The sequence below is a fragment of the Homo sapiens genome, chromosome 13 (genome assembly GCF_000001405.40).
Source record: "Homo sapiens chromosome 13, GRCh38.p14 Primary Assembly".
Classification (NCBI taxonomy): domain Eukaryota; kingdom Metazoa; phylum Chordata; class Mammalia; order Primates; family Hominidae; genus Homo; species Homo sapiens.
This window is the reverse complement of record NC_000013.11, coordinates 94167786-94190932: the sequence shown is the minus strand read 5'-3', so window position 1 is coordinate 94190932 and position 23147 is coordinate 94167786. Positions and strand designations below refer to the sequence as shown.

Below are 23147 nucleotides of genomic sequence, written 5' to 3'. Positions count from 1 at the left end.
TTACTACTTACATACTAATATGTACCACTTATATACTAATATGTATCACTTATACTACTGAAGAATAATATTTGAGAGTATATATATGAGAATGTATTCATATATGCTACTCATATGTTAACATATATAACTTTTGAGATAATTCTCACTATTTGAGAATTAGTTACACACATCGTGGCCTTTTACTCCTTAATACTTCAGGGTGTATTTCCTAGGAACAAGGATAACCTCTTACACACCCATACTGCAGTTATTAACTTTAGTAAATTGAACATTGATACAATACTTTTACGTAACCTACTGTCTGAATTCCAACTTTGTCAACTGACCCAGTCAAATCCTTTCAACCATTTTCTTTAGCCCAGGATGAAGACTAGGATCCTGTATTCCATTTCATTGCCATGTGTCCTCAGTGTCCCTCAATCTGGAGCAATTCCTTAGTCTTTCTTTGTCATCAACTAAAGTGATGGATCATTTGGTGTGCCAGGCAGTAGATCACATGCCTCAGCAGCCTGGAGAATGCTGCTGTATTTTCAGTAGGCAACACATATGAGATGATCATAATGTGGATGTCATTTCACTAGGAAAAAGTAAAATTTTTTCTGCATACTTTTTTTTTTTTTCAGAGTCTTGCTCTCTGGCTGGAGTGCGATGGCACGATCTTGGTTCACTGCAACCTCCGCCTCCCGGGTTCAAACAATTCTGCCTCAGCCTCCTGAGTAGCTGGGATTACAGGCACCCACCACCATGCCTGGCTAATTTTTGTATTTTTAGTAAAGACAGGGATGGCCATGATGGCCAGGCTGGTCTCGAACTCCTGGGCTCAGGTGATCTGCCCCCCTTGGCCTCCCAAAGTGTTGGGATTACAGGTGTGAGCCACTGCACCTGGCCTGCATACTTTTTTTTTTTTTTGAGACAGAGTCTTGCTCTGTCTCCCAGGCTGGGGTGCAGTGGCGTGATCTCGGATCACTGCAAGCTCCGCCTCCCAGTTTCAAGCGATTCTCCTGCCTCAGCCTCCTGAGTAGCTGGGACTACAGGCGCCCGCCACCACGCCTGGCCAATTTTTTGTATTTTTAGTAGAGACGGCGTTTCACCATGTTAGCCAGGATGGTCTTGATCTCCTGACCTTGTGATCTGCCCGCGTCGGTCTCCCAAAGTGTGGGGATTACAGGCGTAAGCCACCGCGCCTGGCTCTGCATACATTTTAATGAGAAGAGATGTTGGATCATGGAAAGATCTCCACAAAATGGAATGAATTTTTTAAGTTTTGATACTCTTTTAATTGTTTAATTTATCTGGAAAATTTACTCCTTCCTTGACATTGCAAGGAATGTGTGGATTGACATAACAATCTAGAGGTGTCCTATGTTCAGAATCTATCACCTGTTGCTAATTTACTTATACCCAACATCCACTGCTTTTTATCCAAATAAATTCCGTCCATCTTGCAATCTTTATGATGTCCAGTAAAGCAATAAGTGGTAGCAGTAAAGGGAACATCCCAGGGTGGGGAGCATGCCTCCCTCTCCTGTTCTCTTTCCAGGCTTGAAAGGCAGGAGGCACTACTCAGGAATACACAGTCCTCGTTTCTCAGCTGACAGGCTAAGGATCCCTCTGCTCTTATGTGAAACTCACATCTTTCTCTTCCTCCTCCTGTCCACCCCCAAAGCCCATTTTGTACAGAGGAGAGAAAGAATCTGTTCAGCACAATTAAACCACCTACACACAGACTTACCAAGCAGAAAACAAAGAATAAGGAAGAAAACATCCGCCACCACCTGAGAAATTGAGTAAGCAGTTTCCTGAATTTCTACCCGTTTTTCAGGGATAATGTCTCTTGAGGAAGCCACAGGTTAGAGCTTCTGGGTGATATAAGGTGAAGCCTTAGCAACACATATTAGGAATCCCTATAACAACAATGGGGAAAGGAAATGGTGGGGACGCTTATTATTCAGTGGCAAACTGGGGCTGCTTCTCCACAGCACTAGAAGAGAATAAAGCAACTATACGATTGAGGGGAGAGAGGATGGATTTGGAGTCAGACAGACTCCTTTGACGACTGACCAGATTGTGAGACTTTGAGGAAAGCTCTTCAGCAGCTTGAGTCTCAGTCTCTCTTTCTTTAGTATGAAGGAGCTCTGATAACAAATCGGTCACCAGCTATGGGATGGGGTGTGGTGCAAGTGCCTCTCCAGATACAGAGGTCCCTAAAGAAGGGGACAGAGGTGAGCAGCCAATCCTCAGAACAGCTGGAGGGTGGGGGATGGATATAGTCCCACAAAGGGATCTGGTGACACCTCACGGCATCCACCATGGCTCCCGTCTCCTTCCAAATCTGAATGATAAAACCTTATAGAATGCAGTGCTAGGTTCTTTGTAACTGAAATGATTTCACTTTCTTTTTTTCTTTATTCAACTTTAGTTCAAAGAAGTGACCACTCACATCACAGAACTCTCTGAGGCATGCTGGGCTAATTGACTCTATTGAGATATCCTTTGTTATGATAAAAATCTTCTATTCCCCTATACAGATGGTACCAGCCAAGAGGAAAGTCACTCGTGCCTGTGGTCAAGCTTCAGGCAATCCCAGTGACCTTGTGCTGCCTTAACTCACCCCTGTCTCCTGGGAAGAGGTGCAGAAGGGGAAAGTGCTTGGGCCTTCCTCTCAGTGACACCACTCCCCTCTTTGTGTCACTGCCTTGCTTTTGGGCTCAGCGTCATTAAAGCACTGCTGCACCTTAGTGCACACACTCCTTTCTAGGTCACTGAGACATGAAGTGAGTATCATTTGTAATATTCATACTTTTCTCTGTGAACTGGCAGGGGGATGGAGAAGGGCAAGAAAGTGGGAGCAGTGTCTGCTGGGAGGGTGGAGAATTAATTTGCATTAATTTCTCACCCTGTTAACTGGTGTGTCACTTCTCTACTCACACAGCCTCCAGTGTGGATTTAGCAATTACTTAGCTCAGCAGAGATAATGTACCCCATAAAATGGCAGAGACACTGGCCAGGGCTGGGCCCAGGAATTCAGTATGGATAATATTCTAATTCTGTATGACAAGGTAAGGCACAAACAAGTTAGCCATGTTTTTCTCTCAAAACTATATATATCTTACTAGGTATATCACAGTGTATTATATAGACATACCTATGTATGTTTATATATTTCCATAAAGTTTTCTTATCTTATTTTTGGTCTTTTCCTTTCCACTGGACTCTAAGCCTCATGAGGGTAAAGGTTTTGCCTATTTGTTCACTGTTGTAACTCCAGCACCTAGAACAATGTTTGCCCGATAGTGGACACTCTATAAGTATTTGTTGAATACCTAAATCCATATTAAGATCAACTCTTATGTTTGAATTAGTCTAGAAATTTGGGGGATGTTGGATTATATGTTCCATTTTTAAAACAAGATGTTTATAATCAAGTGACACGATTTTAAAAGAACATCATTTTAGTTGAGGTGCCAGTAAAATTCGTGAATGCTTTATGCTAAAAAAATATTGGGTTACGTGGCCTCTTACCTTCTGACTCATCGTTCTGCTTTCTTTTTCTTAGCTTTACCATAAATTTGAATCTGTAATTTCTGCTTTGATCAATTTGATGTATAAGGAGTGGAGCCAGTCAAATTTGGAAATAAAATTTCGAGGTTAGAATTCCAATTATGCCGGTGATTCACTGCATAAAACATACGAGCCTCAGTTTCCTGTAAGTGTTCATTTTGCTCCAAGCCTTCTTTTGAGGGAGGATACACACGTTGCCCAAGGCACCAAGAATAAAAACTTTCTTCCTGGGCTCTTTCCCTGTCATCAGTTTTCATCTGAAATAAAAGGAGATTGACTCCAGGATCTTCCAAGGCTGCTATTCCAAGAGCAGGTTCATAAAGGTGATTGTCAAGCTCCAGTGCAAATGCTAATAATCTGGAATTTTCCTTCAAACCATCTGCCTATGCAAAATACAACTGGGTCACACTGGAAAGGAGAGAGAGAGCTCTGATTCATATGAGAAATCAAGAATCGAACCTTCGTAAGTTCCATACTACAGAAACATAGCTAAGCATGCTCATTTTCTATTGGGATTCTGGCCTGCTATTTGAGTGTATGCAGAGGGCAGTATCCTAACTCTGGTATAATTCTACTAGTAGCTTGGTCTTCCAAAGCTTGCTCAAAGAAGATAGCATATTTAATCTACTAAATTATGTTTTAATCAAGATAGAACTCTATAAAAATAATTCTGCATGCATAAATATAGCCAACTCGTCATTTTTTTCTTTAAAGTGCCTGTGAGAATGTCCATGTCATTTTGACCACTTGAGGCTGGTAGGCTACTCTTTAATCCCCCACCAACATCGTAGCCAAGGGTTGAATTTTATGGTTTCAAAGAATCTGTTGCGGTGACCCTAAACCTTCTTATGTTATTTGTAAAATTGAGCAACCCATTAAATATCAATTTAGAAAAAAAATTAAGTACTTTGGAAAGACTGGGTGAAGTAGAATGGTTGAAAAATCTTGGTAAAGGTAAGACAATGATACGAAATTTAAAGAAGGAGGAAAATGGGACTCTGCTCTTGTTGGCTTGCAAGCATCTTTAAGTTCTTTTAGTTTTTCAAAAGCTAAAGGCAGAAATTATAGTTACTGCTTTGTGTTTTGTGCAAGAAAAATCATGCCGAAATCCAACTGGTAAACTCCTATTCCAATAATATGACCTCATATTAAAAGATTGCTGAGTAAATATGCATTGTGTTTCTCTATTTATATTTGTGAGTTAGACTACCCTTTACCTCTTTTCAGTTTTCTTCTGGAAAGGTCTATGTGAACATATATCTTAAAATAATTTCTCAGTAAGAAAACCTTTTTTTTTTTTTTTTTTTTGGAGACGGAGTCTCGCTCTGTCACCTAGGCTGGAGTGCAGTGGTGCGATCTCGGCTCACTGTAAGCTCCGCCTCCCGGGTTCATGCCATTCTCCTGCCTCAGCCTCCTGGGTAGCTGGGACTACAGGGGCCTGCCACCAAGCCCGGCTAATTTTTTGTATTTTTAGTAGAGACAGGGTTTCACCGTGTTAGCCAGGATGGTCTTGATCTCCTGACCTCGTGATCCGCCCACCTCAGCCTCCTGAAGTGCTAAAAACCTTTTTTTAAATAAACTCTTCAACTTTCAATCTCTCACAGTTGAATACTTCATCTTCAGCACTGAGCTCCACGCTGGGGATGCCAAGATGACCAAGTTATGTTTCCAAACACAAGAGATTCTCAGTGTGATAGAAGACCTCCTCATAGACTGCATCTAATGACCATATTCTTTTTTTTACATTGATGGTATCTTTTTATTCCTATATTGAAAATGTTTTTCAATGAGGTAAATTGTTCTATTATCCCCAATGGCTATATAAATGAGAAAACCAATATTTAGTAATATATATTCATATATATAATATATGAATTTCAAGATGACACAAACATAAAATAATGTGTCTATGTACACGTTGTCTATGTCATAAAGTTACCTGATTGAAAAGTTTGTAGACTTTCCACTACACTATGGTGATAACCCTAATGTGTGAAATGAAAGGATGATACCTAAAGGACTTTGAGCCCCACAGCAGGTAATCCAGAATGTTATTTTATGGTTGGTTGATTTTGTAGATGGCCAATGGCTTCTTTTTTTTTTTTTTTTTCAACTTTTATTTTGGAGTCCATGTGCAAGTTTGTCACATGGGTATACCGCACCCAGGTAGTAAGCATAGTATCCAATAGGTAGTTTTTTGACCCTATCCCCTTTCCTCCTTCCCCACTCTGCTAGTTCACAGTGTTTACTGTTCCCAGGTTTATGTCCATGGGTGCTCAATGTTTACCTCCCACATATAAGTGAGAACATACGGCATTTGGTTTTCTCTTCCTGTGTTAATTCATTTGGATTATGTCCTCCACCTCCATCTGTGTTGCTGCAAAGGACATGATTTCATTCTTTTTTATGGTTGCATAATATTTCATGGTATATATGTACCACACCTTCTTTATCCAGTCCATCACTGATGAGCACGTAGGTTGATTCTATGTATTTGCTATTATGAATAGTGCAGCAATGGACATATGAGTGTATGCATTTTTTTGATACAATGATCTATTTCACTTGGCATGTATACCCAGTAATTGAATTGCTGGGTCAAATGGTAGTTCTGTTTTAAATTTTTTTGGGAAAACTCCAAACTGCTTTCCACAAAGGCGGAAACAATTTACATTCCCACCGACAGTGTATAAGTGCTTCCTTTTCTCTGCAGCCCAATCGGCATCTGTTGTTTTTTGGCTTTTTAATAATGGCCATTCCTGACTGGTGTGAGATGCTATCTCATTGTGGTTTTGATCTGCATTTCTCTGATGATTAGTGATGATGAGCATTTTTTCATAAGTTTGTTGGTTGTGTGTACGTCTTCTTTTGAGAAGTATCTGTTATGTCCTTTGTCCATTTTTTTAATGGGGTTATTTGTTTTTTGCTTATTGATTTGTTTAAGCTCCTTCTAGATTCTGGATGTTAGACCTTTGTTGGATGCATAGTTTGAGAATATTTTCTCCCATTCTGTAGGTTGTCTATTTACTCTAGTAGGTTTTTTTTTTCTTTGTTTTTTGCTGTGCAAAAGCTCTATGGTTTAATTAGGTCCCCCTTGTCAATTTTTGTTTCTGTTGCAATTGCTTTGGGAGATTTAGCCAAAAATTCTTAGCTAAGGTTGATGTTGAGAAGGATATTTCCTAGGTTTTCTTCTACGATTTTTAGAGTTTGAGGTCTTACACTTAAATCTTTAATCCATCTTGGGTTCATTTCTGTATATGGTGAAAGGTAAAGGTTGTTGGCCAGCCATATGCAGAATGAAACCGTTTCATTCTTCTGCATATGGCTAGCCAACTATCACAGCACCATTTATTTAATAGGGAGTCCTTTCTCCATTGCTTGTTTTTGTCAGCCTTGTCGATGTTCAGAGAGTTGTAAGTGTGTTGCTTTATTTCTGGGTTTCTTATTTTGTTACAGTGGTCTATGAACCACATTCTTCAACCCTTGTTCTCCCCTTCTCCCTGGTTTGAGTAAAAATAATCTCCCCAAATACCAACTAAGACACTAGACATATGCTTTGGTGTCTTCAACTTAGCATGCTGAAGACAGCATGTGTGGACCTGCTAGAATGGCTATAATGCAGGGAAGAATCCTAAGAAACAATTACTGTTGGCAAGGGTGTGGAGAAATTGAAACCCTCGTAGATTTCTGGTGGGAGTGTATGATGATACAGTCACTGTGGAAAACTGTTTGGTGGTTTCATGAAAAGTTAAACATAAAATTACCATATGACCCAGCAATTTCACTCCTAGGTATGTACCCCAGAGCATTGAAAGCAGGGACTCAGCCAGATACTTGTATACCAATGTTCACAGTACCATTATTCTCAATAGCTAAAAGGTAGAAACAGCTCCAGGCTTCATGAACAGATGAATTAATAAACAAAATGTGGTATATATTAAATACATACAATGAAAAATTATACAGCTCTAAAAAGGAATGAAGTTCTGATACATTCTATGACATGGATAGACCTTGAGAACATTTTGCTAAGTGAAAGAAGCATGACACAAAAGGACAAATATTGCATGATTCCACTTATATGGGGTACTCAGAATAGGCAAATTCAGAGACAGAAAATAGAATAGAGATTACCAGGGGTTGGGGGTAAGTAAGAAAGGCGAATTATTGCTTAATGGTTACAGAGTTTCTGTTTTGGTCAATGAAACATTTTGGAACAGATAGAGGTAATGGTTGCACGAAATTATGAATATAATTAATCCTATTGCATTGTGCATTTAAAAATGGTGAAGGCTGGGTGCAGTGGCTCACGCCTATAATCTCAGTACTTTGGGAAGCTGAGGCAGAAGGATTGTGTGAGCCCAGGAGTTTGAGACCAGCCTGGGCAACACAGTGAGACCTTGTCTCTACAAAAAATAAAATAAAAATAGCTGAGCATGGTGGCACACACCTGTAGTCCCAGCTACTTGGGAGGCTGAGGTGGGAGGATCACTTGAACCTGAGGGGTTCAGGCTGTAGTGAACCCTGTTTGTGCCACTGACGGAGCCTGGGTGACAGAGTGAGACCCTGTCTCAAAAATATACATACATAAATAAAATGGTTAAAATGGAAAATATTATTAAATATATTTGCCACAATTAAAAAAGTAAATAATAAAAATTGTGTGTGGACAACCTGTGATCATTTTGGACTTTATCTGCTGGCAAGATAGTTTATTCATTTTCTAAACTTCCTCTTTTTACTTCCACTTTTCTTCAAGGTTTAGGAAAAAAAACATTACACAGCAGTGGCCTACTACTACTCCCAATTGTGAGAAAGCCAAGTCATAATGTTCACCCAACTTCCCTGCTCAGAAAACACATCATGGTGCAATTATCTACAGTTTTAAAACAGAAACATAAAGTGTTCTCCTTACAGAAGCACAAAAGTTCAGCTCCATACCTAGCAAAACTCAGGAACAAAGTCCATGTTCCTGCAGCCATCCTATAGTCCCAACACCTGGAATCACCTGACCTCTACCTGATGCTCTGACCTGCCCCAGGAAAACAGTCCAGCTCTTAGGTCAGACTCAGATCATTAATCATCATATCAGCCTTTCTGCAAATCAGTTTCTGATTTTGTAACCTGATTTCAGTGACTTGAGCATTTATCTTTAAAAAAAAAAAAATCTGAGACCTAAGTTACTCCACTGTATCCCTGTTTCAGCAAGTGGAATCTGCCTGGTTATTTTTGGCCTAAGGGCCTGCCTTGTTACCACACAACCAAGGCATATACCTTTGTCAATTCTCATTTGGGAGAGGAGGGGCCAACTACTGGGTCTACATTGCGTGGCTCAGCTATCTCCCAACTTATGCTTGCCCTCCTAATGTCACTTCCTAGCTGCATGAATTGGACTAAGCCATGCAACCTCTCTGAGTCTCAGTTTCTTCATCAGAAAAGTAAGAACTATGTGACCTGTTCCTCAGAGCCAGTTAAAGATTAACCAGGACTAATGGATGTGAAGTATAGCACCAGGCACTTAGTGAGTGCTCAATAAATAACAGGTAGTGGTAGCTAATTTGCCTTTATAACCATGTCAAAAATGTGGCAGATGCATTTAAACAATTGTCTCACTAATATGAGGCACCCTAAGTTGTATAATAACTAACACATTTATTAATGACTCTGAAATTAAAAGTTGCAAAAGCCAGGTGGCAAAGTGCAAAGATTGTGTGGTCAGGGAGTTCAGAGATAGACACATTTTGCTCCTGGCATCACCAGTAAGTATCTACAGGACCTTAATAAAGTGAATTAAATTGTTGGGGCCTGACTGTCTTCTTCCATAGACAATAGATTAAGTCAGATACTGTTTTAAATCCTTGTTAGCTCTAAATATTTGATTCTTTATGAAAAATAAATAAAATCTCCACAAATTAATAAGAAATATTACATCCAACTATATCGGGGGAACCAGCCCCCAATATTTCAACGCAGGTTCTTTTCTATTTCCCCTAAGTGTCAGCCGGTCTGAGAAATAAAGAGAAAGAGTACAAAGAGAGAAATTTTACAGCTGGGCCTCCAGGGGTGTCATCAAATATTGGTAGGACAGTGATGGCGACCCTGAGCCACAAAACCAGCAAGTTTTTATTAGGGATTTCAAAAGGGGAGGGGTGTACAAAGAATGATGAATTTAACCATTGATGTTTTAGGTCTCCACCCCTGCATGCTAGTAAGAGCATCATGGCTACCTGGTATAAGGGGGAAATACGATTGATGAGTCCAGAGCTCTCTGGTAGAGTGGATATCAAAATGTGGTTCCTGGATCAACTAATGCCAAACTGCAGGTTTTGTTCCAGACCTACTGAAGTAAAATTTCTGGGGATGGGTCCAGCAATTTGTGCTTTAGCAAGCCCAATTGCTGCTTCTGATGCTTGATAAATTGAGAACCATTGCTGTAATACATTAAAGCCTCCTTGTTTCAGTCTCTCTCCCTCTCTCTCTCTCTCTCTCTGTGTGTGTCTCTCTTATACACACGTATGCACAGGAAACCTGTTACCTTGAATTTAGATGATACATACATTTACAATAAGGATATCTATTCCACCTTAATGACTTGTCCCTATTAATCTGTAGATTTTTGAAAAAAATCCTCTGACTTGCCTATTGATCAATTTCATTTCCAGTAGATTATTTTATTTTGAAGGAGAAATGTATGCCCAGTAGAAAATAAAGAAAATTGCTAAGGACAAATAAACATTGATTGCTAAGGGAGAAGAAGGCCACTTATCACATTATCTCTTTAGTGAACCGTCACTCCCTCTGCATGTAGCTCATTCCAAACATCTTACATTTTAATGCAACAAGGATGCCTCCAAATGGTGGTTTCATTCATCGATTTCTCTTGCTATTTTCATTATCTACTTAAGCAAAAAAATACATTTATTGTGGCTTCAAAGACTGCATTCAGTTGATCAAATTGCCATATTTGAAGCAGAGTATCAAATATAAATGGATACCACTAAACAGCCTGTTTATCAATTCAGAAGAGCATGATCCAAACATGTGGTAAGGCCTCAAACCAAAGAACGTATGTCTTAAGGAGTTAGTGTTCACGTACAGTTTAGCATCAGATGAACCCAGGAACTAAGAACTACTTCCAATGTCACGGTCATAGGATGTGTCTGTGTAAAGCCCTCCGTGGTTCTCCCTTATCTTTCTAATAATACTCTTTTCAATGAGGCCTCTGCAGTGTTATCTCCTACCTTGTACCCTCTCTACTCCCTTTCCAGCCTTCGGGTAGGGAGTCCCATCCTGTAGGTATGTCCACATCCTCCTCCCCCTGTGCCTCTACCAAATCCTGCACACAATGGTACCTGCTCACTCATCTCACTATTGAGTTTACATGCCTTCCTATTAGGATGGTAAGCACCTTGGGATCAGGCATTTTTTTCTTTGAATACGAATAGCAACATGATAGGTTCCTGTAAATATCTATTGAGTGAAATAATTTCACCTTCTGCTCACATTTTCCATTTTCCTGCAGACACATTATTACCCCAAAAGTAGTGACCTGGTTAGAAGGTAAGAAAAATACATAGAAAAAAAGAGAATTTCATAGTGGTATTACCTCCCAGGAAAGAGTTGTAATCAAAAGCAAAATTTTCCTCCTGTTGTGCTTTCTCAGCTAACTACAGAAATAGTCACTTTTAGAGAAAGCCTGTCAAAAAGCTTGTGAACAGCAGTTAAATTCACTTTCCATTTATTTTCAATGAATAGGTAGGAATTAGAGTATGTATCACTTTTATTTTTTTTTAACTTTTGGAGATCTATCAGAGACTAGCATCTCCTAGAAAAACATGAACTAAGTTAAACAAATTTTTAAAAATTACACGTATACAAACAGTGATGGAGAATCATTGAAAAAAACATAAAGCAGGCAATCAGGAACCCCTGAGTCAGGAAACTGGGTACATTTTTATTCCTGCTACCTAGGAGCTATTTGATCATGGGTAAGCTCATGCCCTTTTAGATTTCACCTTTCCATCCACCCTCTCTATCTCAAAGTAAATGCCAATAAGACATAAGAGATTTCTGAGGAGATGGTGTACAGACAAATGCAGCGTCATTTGACACCTGAAGAAGATGCATCTTAGAAGGATGTCAATAGTAGAACCTTGGTTGGCTTTAAAACCTACTTCTCACTTCAAGAACAAAGATATGCAGGAGGGTGAGGATACTGGAGATGATGAATACATGATCAGGACAAGGTCATTTGTGCCTACCAACCATGGGGTTTCCACAGAAACGAGACGATCTGAGCCAGATTCAAAGCCTGAAACAGGAATGAGATAAAAATCTAGACCGCGTGTATCTTGTAACAGGCTTCAAGATCAAGAAAGGGGGAACTCAGTAGCAAATAAGCAGAAGGAGGGCTGAGCTCCAGCCAAGTGTTTGCTACTTGAAAAGTGCTTAGCTGATGTACTGGGTGCCTGTACCTCCTAACAAGGCAGGAGGACTCATAACATCCAACCGTTTAGATTCATCATCTCATCTGCTCTCACCTTTCTGCTGGCTGCACAGACCAAATATTTGCTTGGCTGCAATACAACAAGAGAATGAATGTAAACAGTGGGACTCTGAGAACTGCTGATCAGAGTTGTTGGGAAGGAAACTAGAAACTCTTAAAAAAAATCTTAAAAGAGGGTTGTGAGTAAAGTGATCTTTTGAAGAAGAGAGCAATTACTTTAATGATTTGCATTTTCATTCTGGAGAAAGTACATCCTATTAAAGGAAATGTGAAAAGTTTTGAATATTCAAAGGAAGAAAGAAAAACAAAACCCACTGTCCCATGAGTGAAACACAATAATTGGGTGTAGTCTAGTGTATTTCCTTTTAGCTTCTTCTTCTATGCATAGGCATTTAATGATATTGTTGAAATCACTGTTTAATATTACACATAATCATTTTTTATGGTTTGCATACAATTTATATAGCCACTTCTCATTGAATGGATTTGCCATACTTTATATTATTATGCCTCTATAGTTGAATGATAATGAGAGATAGGAGGACAAGATAAAATATTTAAAGACCAGCCGGGTGCGATGGCTCATGCCTGTAATCCCAGCACTTTGGGAGGCCAAGGTGGGCAGATCACAAAGTCAGGAGTTCAAGAGCAACCTGGCCAACATAGTGAAACCCCATTTCTACAAAAATACAAAAATTAGCAGGGCATGGTAGCTACTTGGGAGGCTGAGGCAGGAGAATCGCTTGAACCCAGGAGGCGGAGGTTGCAGTGAGTTGAGATCGCACCACTGCACTCCAGCCTGGGCGACAGACTGAGACTCCATCTCAAAAAAAAAAATTAAAAGGCCACTGAAAAAGAATGATACATGCTTTTAAAGAATTTCTAACTAACAGACCAAAAGACAGAGATTTGGAAGAAAAAAACATGAAAATTTGGACAGATAGAATATAAAAAGTATTTTTTTAAAATTAAGGACAAATATGTATTCAGAGGAAGATGACAATGATTAAGTTGTCTTTATACTTGGTCATGTGGTTTATTATTAGTTTTGTCATTGGAAATTATGACCTATTTAAAAATACTGTCAACTTATATGATTATTTCTGGAGATTATATTGAAATAACTAAAAATGCTATGTTAAAACATATAAATATTATTAATATTCTTAATGCTTCCCGAAGGCCTTATATGATGTATAGTCCAAACATATGAAATTGCTTGTGCATATTTCATCTTTATCAGGCATCACCATGCCTATTATTTATTTCAAAACTATTTGCTAATTTGATTGGTGACAATTGATATATCTTGTTTTTTTTTAGTAAGTTTAACATTACTTTGATGTTTGCTAACTCTCTTTACTTTTTTCCTAAATTGTTAGTTCAAGACTGTTGAAAACTTGTCTGTTAAAGGGCTCATTGTGAAAAATCAATATGTAGGAGCTTTTTATATAATTAACGTATCATGCTTTTAAAAGTCATATTTGCTGCAAATATTTTCCCAGTATCTTTATCTTGGTGGTTGACACATAGAAGTTTTACATTTTTTAAATGTTGATATCCTGACATTGTGGTTTAGAAGAAAACACTTTGGTTATTTCATTCAGTCACTTTTCTCATGATGTTTACCTAAAAAATTTACATCGTGTTCTCTTACATGTTGAAATTTGGGAAGAAATTAAACATTCATCCTGTCACATGTGGGTCAAGAGCAGACATTAGCTATTTAGCTGATTGAGTTAAATAGGATACAGAATTGATAACTTCTTCCTCAAGGCAAATCTTCTGAATGGGTTTCTAATTCTAAAAAGAGGATACATATAACCTTATATTTGCAAGTTTATTCTCATTTTTCTGTCTTTTAAAAATAGTTTTAAAGCATTTGTCATTGGTAGTTTGTGCGCTTAGGGTAGTACTTATGGATGCATAACATCACATGCGGAAGTTCTGTGAAGTTTTCGATGTTCTACTTTCTTGGTTACTTATGTTACAGGGATTCTGATTGCATTAAGGATTCTTTCTTTCACCCCGGAGAAGCATACATCTGCTTCTGCTGACATCTGTTCTCCTTTGTGGGTTCTGAGGAAACATTTATTTCTTTTTTGCTTTTCTTCCTGTTTTAGCAATGTCTGCTTCTCATCTTAATAAATCACCTTTATGTTGCAATAACTTAATAGAAGGAGAATACATAGCTAAAGAGAGAATGTGTAGCACAGAACATAGAATTCTGAACAACATTCTTGGCTTGTTCCAGGGTATCTGCCAGGCATTTAAAAACGAGGTTCATGTGTATTGGCTTCTTTTTGAAAAGAAGATTATAAATAACAATATCAAGGTCACTCGTTTCCCTCCATGCTTAGCACAGGGAAGTTGGAATGGTGAATGAGTTAGGAAAGGCTTTGCTTTGGGGATGTAGTTCCAAATATCGGTTCTGCTATGTCTATGAGTTCCTTTCACCTTCCTCCCTGAAGGTTACTGTTCCTTCGAGAACCTGATGCTCTGCCTCCCTTTAGAGGTATAAAAGATCACCATAGTCTCAGGAGAGAAGGGATCCTATTCCACGTCTTCGAATGTACTGATCTTTCCACAGGCTCCTGGACTTCTGAGATGTTTTTCTTATGTCCTAGTTAATGCTACAACCCACTCAGTGCTGATTTCAATGATGAAATGAAAGGGTCTTATTGAAAAAAAATTATGAGATTAATTGCTTATCTTGTCTTAGGAATGAAATATTAACTGGGAGGAGATACGTGCAATATATATAAGGAGCTTATTTCCAGGATATATAAAGAACCTCTGCAAATCAATAATAAAATGAATAGCTCATTTAAAAGTGGTGAATTAAAAAATTCTCCATTGGACAAGCTCGCTCTCTCTCTCTCTCTCTCTCTCTCTCTCTCTCTCTCTATATATATATATATATATGGCTCATTTGGATACTCCCTTTTGGGAAAATATATATATATGTATATAAATAAAGTATAAACATCTTTTATATAAATATGTACATATACTTTTATATATACACATGTATATATTTATATAAAAGATATATATAACTTTAAATATATGTATATATGCTTATATATATGAAAGATGCTCAATATCATGCTTATCAAGGAAATATAAATTAAAACCATACAGAGAATCCTTTAGACAGATGCAGAATAATTAAAATTAAAAAGACCAGCTATACTAAATATTAGCAAAGAAGCAGTACATCTAGACTCTCATACTCCATTGCTGGGAGTATAAATTGGTTCAACCACTTTGGAAAGCTGTTTGACAGTATTTATTAAACCCAATCAGAATACCAATTCCATGACCTGGTAATACCATAATACAAATTCCATGACCCAGTCTTTTTAGCAAATGACTAAAACACTCCAAATGTTCCTCAACAAGAAAATGGATAAATAGTAATGTATTCCTACAACGAACACCATAGAGTAGGAATTGGCAAAGTATGGTCCAAAGACTAAATCCTAGTAAGTAACATTTGTTGGAACAGAGCTGCTATACTCAATCATTGACACATTGTGGATGGCTGCTATTGTGCTACAAAGGCAGAATTGTGTAGTTGCAACAGAGAGCATATTATCCACAAAGCCTAACATATTTACCACCTGACCCTTTATGGAAAAAGTTTGCCAGTCCTGCAATAGAGGCAATGACTAATAATAGACTGCTGGTACAGGCAAGAACATGAGATGAATCTCATGGATATGATGTTGAGTGAAAGAAGCCAGACAGAAAAATGTACATACTGTATAATTTCATTTATAAGAAGTTCCAGAACAGGCAAAATTGATGGTGTTAGAAATCTGAAGAGTGGTGATATTTGGGAGATACACACCAAGAAAGACACAAGGCAAACTTCAGGGATCCTGGAGATGCTCTGTATCTTGATCTCAGAGATAGCTACAGGAACCTGTACTCATACATAAAAGTCAATTGAGCTGCACACATGAGATTAGTGCACTTTACTTTTTTATAGGTAAATTAAAAAATTAATGGAATCATGAATTTTCTGGCTCTAAAATGGGCATATTGGCTGAAACTCTCCATATATGGTTGAAAGGTAAAAACCTGCTGTTTTCCGTGACTTTGGAAGAAGTTGAGGCTCAGTTTTCATAACTGTAAATAAGCCTGGCCAAATTTACTTTACATGACATTTACAAGGACATTATAGTGCTTGATGAGATAGCACAAACTTTTGCTAAATAGCATGTCATCTACAAAAGAATGTCTGTATTTTTTTCTTACATGCTTTTCTTTCTTGTTCACTGACCTTCTGCTTTGCCACACCATTTGTTTTATGCCATTTCTTACTTATAACAATGTATTACCAATTTTGTGCTTCCTTGTTCACCTACATCTGTCTCTTTTCCCTAGTATATTTATAGTAAATTGCTTGCATAACCCTTGGGCCTACATTAATTTATCTTTGAATGTTTTTCATTTCCCCATTGTGTCCTCTAACTCCATTGATTTACCCTATTTGATATTTCTTCATTATTCTAAAATTCACTTGGCTGCTGTTCAACATTCTTATTTTTTCCCCTTTTGGTTGTCCCTGTGTCCTAATTAAACCTAACTAGGTTATAAGAACTCTTGCACAGAGGTTCACTAACCCATGCATTTGAATTGCATTGGATGGATTACTCAAGCTTTGCCAAAGATTGATTTCTTTCTAGCTTTCTCTTTTTCATGGTGCAAAATTTAGTAATCTTGTGCCCTGCCTGCCAACCTACAGTAGTACATGATTTATTCATTTTTGTCACTTATTTCCAGAGAGCTAAAATCATATGTAACTAGTAGCCTCTTTTATTAGCAAAAATGAAAAGTAATAAGAAGATATCAATGGAGTAGGCTATTGCCATAGTTGGTAATCAAGATGATAATCAAAGATTAAGCCTGCTTCCTTTAAAGAATTCCTGAGCACTTTGCAATTACGTTACCACAGATCCTCTTAACATTGCTGCAGTAATTGGAAAACTACTAAACATTTGTTACAGATAGAAGAGAGCAACAGAAAGTACATGAGCTTTCTAAGTTTCCCTCAGCTTATCAACAGCCTGTAGAAGAAGCAGGATATTCAGATGGGGAATCAAAACATGCTTTTAAATCTCAGTTCAAATAGAAAAATAAGTGACTGGAACTAGTGATGTTCTCAAAATCTCAACTTGAGTTCGGGCTCCACCTTGAGGTGTGCTAGCTTGGGCATACACTGAAACCTAAATATTTATATTTCTAGAACTGGAAAATCACTACCTCTCCTTTATACCAACATGTCTGGGAATGAATCAGCTTGGAAAACACTTGTAAGTGCTCCCTTGAGGTCATCTTTTTCACAGAATCAAATATTTTAGGGTTTGAAGGAATTCTCGAAGTCACCAATCCAACCACCCAACTGATACTTGAATCATCTCCACAACATTCTAAACTCCTGTGACCACCAACTCCATCTGTACACGTCCTAACCAGGAAGCCATCTTATCCTTGGTTCGAACTGTACCAAAGAGCTATGCTGAATAGTAAGCTCTTCAAATATTTGAACATGGCTTGTGTGTACCCCTGAGTCTTCTTTTCTTGAGTCAAACATAGCAATTTCTTGTGCCATTCTTTATATAGTGTAGTTTCAAGTCCCCAGCCAGACCTGGTCACTCTCTTCAGTTTCCATGAGCTTCAACAGTCTTTCATTCCTTAAAAATGTGGGGGCAGAAAACTAAACAAAGTCTTCCAGTTGTGGACTGATCTGCACAGAATGAAGCTGAAGTATCCCTTTCCTCATTCAAGATATTGGTGCAGTCTCAGAATTTGTTTTTCTAGTCAACACATCTCATTGTTGGCTAATGAGAGCTTATCCTCTAACCAAGGTCAAGTCCTTCTCAACCACTGCTCCGTACTCATGTGTGCCCCTTATAGATACTATGAGTTGACAGCCTCTATCAGACCATTGCCCAGGAACAGTCATTGGCAGTGTCTATCTGAACTTTACTCAGCTCAAGCCTTTTTGCCTGAACATACTGTCTCTCATGCCTTGATTAAGAGCTCCGTAGGCCTATATATATGTTAAGAGGCTTAGAAATGCACGTAACTTGGTCATTTATGTAAGAGTGTACATAAGTCCATTTGTTCAGCTTCTAAAACTAAGATGGTTTTTCCTAAAAGCAAGATTTATTGACATTTTAATGTAAAGAGCCAGAGAGCAATATTTTCTGTTTTGTGGGACACATGTTCTATGTCACAAGCACTCAGCTCTTGGGAAAGGACCCATAGAGAATATGTTAATGAATAAGTATGGCTGAGTTTCAAGAAAACTTTATTTACCAAAGCAAGTATCAGGCAGAATTTAGCTGATGGCTATAATTTGTTGACCTCTGCTTTAGAGTATCTGAAAACATTTTGTGATTATCATTTTTTCATTATCTTTAAACATTACCATGAAAATGGTAAGCTATTAATTATATTTTACAGATAGAGAAATTTAATAATATACTGAATAAGATCACTCGATCATCTCGTAAGAGCAGTTAATATGTACTATTGAGATAATCTCTCAAATCATCTCCCTTCTCACCATATGGAATCTATGAGATACGCATTTTTATTTGGGAAAAAAAAAAGATTTCAGTGATATCTTACTTGTTTTTTTTGTCTTCTGGTGGGTAGGTTCCTCAGGTAGATTTGATTATAATGATTCCATAACACTACAATCTAAGAAAACCTTCTTTAATCATTGCCCCTGTGCCTGAGGGCAAGTTGCTGCTGCTAGGACTCTGTGTGTGCAATTTGGGGGGCATTTAAACAATGCTCACTGTCTTTCCAAACTATTCATCCAAATACCTGGCCTCCTAAAAAAAAATTGAAAATGCTCATCAATTCCACGTTTTCAGCACTTAACACAATTGTTTATGGGCTTCACTCCTGTACAGCTAGTACACCTTCCATATGGAGCTTCTGCCACGGGACTTTGTAGTTTCATGGTTTTTGCACTTTGGGGTAACAGAGGGGATTCCTTCCTTCCAGATCACTGTCATTTTAAGAATCAAGTAGAGGCTCACTGAAGCACGCAGTTGTGCTTTTCATACTAATCTGCAGCTACATGCCATGAAAAGTGTTAGGAAATCTGAGATGATAAACTAGGGCCTCAAGAAACTCAAGCTGGTAACAACTAAAATGCAGGGAAAGGACAAATGTCTTGGTTTTACCCCCTAGCAAAATCCCTTTTTACAATTCAGGCATCTCTTATCATGAATATACTTTGGAATTTTCCATTCTCCCTAGAGTTCCCTTCCTTAGCATTTTAGTCTAGGAGGCATTTGTTCTTTTGAATGTCATGCAGTGTGACAAATTAGTTCCCTTACTTTTACTGAAGCACTTAATAAGCTGCTTCGCTTATGCACCCTTACTCTTCCCAGGTGTTCTCATAGTCAAAATGTAACAGCCTTCTGTTTTTCCTGAAAAGTCTCCTAATGTTTCATTTGAGAACATCCAGAAAACAGAGGTAAAATAAATGACATAAACATACCATAAAAAGTAGGTCTAAAATCTATGTTGCGCTGGCTGTGTTTTCAATGGTCTTGCGTGTAAGGGTAAATTTGCTATAGGATGAGAAATTCAGTCTTACTGATTTATTGAGACCATCAGTAGCAGAATCAGTACTTCAGTAGCAGAATCAGTACTGTTAGGTCCCAATGGTGGTGAAGGGCCTTTCTGCATGACCAAAGAGGCTAACAGGTTGTACACTTGGGCTTCTGCAAACCCAACCATACTCAGGTGAAAAGAATCAAAGACAATGAAATAACACTCAGCTAAATTAAAAAGGCACACTTATTTTCACAGGGACTACACAAATAAGCAACTAAAGAGCCAACGTCTTAAGAAACTGAGCCTCCAAACATTAAGAACATCCTAGATTTATTTCCTCGCACTCTGGACATGGAGTAGGCAGAAAACAACACAATCCCAGAGAAAGCCTGTAAGTCCCACTCTTTTCAATTCTCCACTCCCAGGATCTTTGTTAAATGGCCCAAATTAAACATGATGGCTCAAATGCCCTCACAAGAGAGTTGTTACAATCTACCTAAGCAAATTCAATTTACTGAAAACTCTCATGGCTTTATTCCCATTCTCTTCAGCATTTGCAAACACTTTGATAGTTTTCAGTCTGGCATTTTCCATGAGTTTCAAATTTGAAAACGTGAAAATCCAGTCTGATTTTGAGGATAGCAAAGAGTTAATACTTATGGGGAAAAGTCAGTGCCCAAAAGGAATGAACTACATTCCCTTTTCAATTTCTCTGCCTTCTGGCTAACTTTCCAAACAGATTTAATCACTCTCAGTATGTCACCATCAGAATCTCTCCCCAATGGCCAGCACACAGCGGCTACTGGGCTCTGAGACTGCCAGGCAGCCAGCAGCCACCTCACAACCTCACCACTCAGCCCAACCAGCTCAGTCCCTCTGGCACCCTTCGGAGGCTGAGTTACTGGCATGAATACTTTCAGAAAGCCCAAGTTAGCACGGGGCCATTTCAATGAAATTAGTGGTGAAAACCATCAAGCATGAGAATTTGATTTCCATCCAAGGAACATAGGTTGATTTTTATCTGCTCTTCCTTGGCATCAGAAAAAGAGGCTAGGATTTCAATAACTGCTGATGCCATTGCTTGTGTGTTGCTTTCTGGTTGAGGATCACGTGCCTGTCTGTGTTTTCTTTCAGAGCACTCATTATTTCTTGTGCTTTTAGGGGCAGCAATTCTAGTTTCCAGAAATTAGCATTTCCTTTTCTTGCCTCCAACAGTAGCAGTGCCAAAGGAAAGCTCTTTTAATCAACTCTGTGCCACAAAATAAGTTGAAACTGTGACAGGTGAAAGTTCATCCCCAGAGGTCCCGCCTGCCCAACTTCCAGTCTTCACTTCTCATCCAACTTCCCTTCACTCTAAAGCAAAAGTTCATTTTTTTTCATTTTCTCTGGAACTGAGAAAATAGGAAGATGCTGGAGTAGGACTCTCCAGCAACATCAAAGTGGGCTCAGCACATAAGGCTCCTGCAGCCACGTGTTCTCTCTGTGACGTTCTCTGTGGATCTCCAGGGAGTGTGAATCTGATTCAAAAACCAGGACCCTTAGCCCAATCAACCACTCTCCCAATGGCATGTTTCTCAGGATCCCGCAAGGGATACAAAGGATTCATTCCTTTGTAGCAGTGCTTTCTAATATGCCTTTGTAATTTGTTGTGGAAGAGTCAGTCACATCTCTATGCTCTTTGCATCTGTTTATTTCTGGCTCGGTATGTTTTCTGGCCTTATTAAGTATTCACAGAGACACAATAACTGTCCTTTTAATCTTCCAGAAGTTAACCCTCTAACCCTCTGAGTTCTAGTATTTTAAGATTTTAGTATTGGCTTTCTCCATCTCTTGTATATCTTTCGGCATTCTAAATACCACCCCTGATTACTGTACTTTCAGAGTGACAGTGTTTTGGAGGTGCAGAGTACTTTAAAGTATTTAAAATCCTTTGCCTGCCTCTTTCCTGCCAAGATCAATTTGTGATCTCACTCTGCGTTCATTTTCCAAGGCTGAGGTATTTCATTTTTCTGCACCACAAATGAGATATTGAAAATTATTGCAACTGCATCAACAGAGGAAATCATTTCTTGAAAGCTGTTGCTTTTCTTTTAAAAGTGATATTGCAAACGTTGTTTCCTATCCTGTAGTAAATAAGCTTGTCAAAAAGGTAAACTTGCTCAAGCCTTCATGAAAGACAAAACTACAATTTAATTGTGTAATAATTTAAAGTCTGCCTTCCTTAATAGCGGCTCCCACTTGCCTAAGCCTCTTACGAAACTGTTGTCATAAGTGGAACTTACCCTGGTCCAACTTCTATCCCCACGCCCACGGAGGGTAATGCCTTCCGGCATTAACTTTGCATTATTTTACCATATGGAGACACATAACATTCCAGTCTTCACCAGGGCCTACTTACCCACAGCACCCAGGGCCCACGAAAGTGTTTTCACTTTAATCTTTTAAAATCAGAATAAAAAATGAATATAATAATTAATGTAAAATCATGAATCCCATCTATATTCGCCTTTACTCCAATTCAGTTGTAAAATATAATTATATATAATATATATTTTATATATATTTATAAATATATAAATGCATATACAAATATGTATTTATAATATATGGACATATAAATAAATATGTAGATAAAATATAATAAATATATATACTTTTTTCTTTCATGGAGGAAGGTGCCCATGAAGGCAAAAGTGCCCAGGGCCCATGAAAGTCATAATGTGGCTCTGGCCCGAAAAGATTTACTTATTAGGTAGGTCCAGAATATGCTGGGAACTTAGCACTACTTGGAAGACATAAAAATGTTATTAGGGGAATGATGATATTGTTTCATTTATGGTCTCCTCCCTGGCCCCCAACATTACGGGCTCCACCCCCACCTGGACTGTTTCCCTCAAGCTGTCTTCTCCCTGCTTTAACAGCCAACAAATCTATGCGTGAGCACGCTGACCTAAAGACAGCCAAATAGAATCTCCGAGATAGCAGAGAGTGATAAGCCTCCATCCAGTATCACAGAAGGGGCACAATATATGTTTATAGAATGCAAGAATGACGTTGTCATAGAATGTAAAGAGGGCAGGTTTTGGAGCCAGAGGGACCCAAGTACAACGTTTGGCTCTGTCATTTACTGGCTGAGTTGTCTTGGTCAAATCACTTAATCTTCTGAACATCCTATGACAACCAGTGATGATAATGCCTATCTCGCAAGTTGCTGTAAGGCTGGAAGATAATTTATGTACAAACACTTACTATAGCTAAATATTATATAAGCATTTTATGTGTAACCTATGATATAGTGAGAATAAATAAAACTGTTATGGAATAGATAACAACTGACAGTAAAATAAAAGGTATTGAATAAGCAATTGGCATTACTATTATTAGTCAACTTCTTCACTCAAATTTTGAATGGGTATTTCCTGTTTATAAGACTTAAGATATAGAACTCCTCTGTAGTTTACAAAGCCCTTTAAATATGACAGAT

At 38.3% G+C, this 23147-nt stretch overlaps 1 protein-coding gene and 1 long non-coding RNA gene across 5 annotated transcripts in view, besides 1 other annotated feature; one reads left to right on the top strand and one right to left on the bottom strand.

Annotated features, from left to right (window-relative positions):
• The window catches only part of GPC6 (glypican 6), a 1191492-nt gene that overhangs the window by 217088 nt on the left and 951257 nt on the right, over positions 1-23147 (bottom strand). The window lies entirely within an intron of this gene.
• Positions 1871-2786: an enhancer, noted in NCBI's record as "OCT4-NANOG hESC enhancer chr13:94840401-94841316 (GRCh37/hg19 assembly coordinates)". NCBI's record gives its function as "activates a minimal SCP1, AML or CMV promoter by ChIP-STARR-seq in naive and primed H9 embryonic stem cells {active_cell/tissue: H9 hESC(naive and primed)}" and the evidence as "EXISTENCE:reporter gene assay evidence [ECO:0000049][PMID:30033119]".
• Positions 2942-23147, top strand: part of GPC6-AS1 (GPC6 antisense RNA 1) — a 33799-nt gene continuing 13593 nt past the window's right edge. Inside the window, exons 1-3 of the long non-coding RNA NR_046535.1 lie at positions 2942-3062; positions 3560-3709; positions 3815-4027. This is a non-coding gene — a long non-coding RNA (GPC6 antisense RNA 1). The remainder of the gene's footprint in view (positions 3063-3559; positions 3710-3814; positions 4028-23147) is intronic.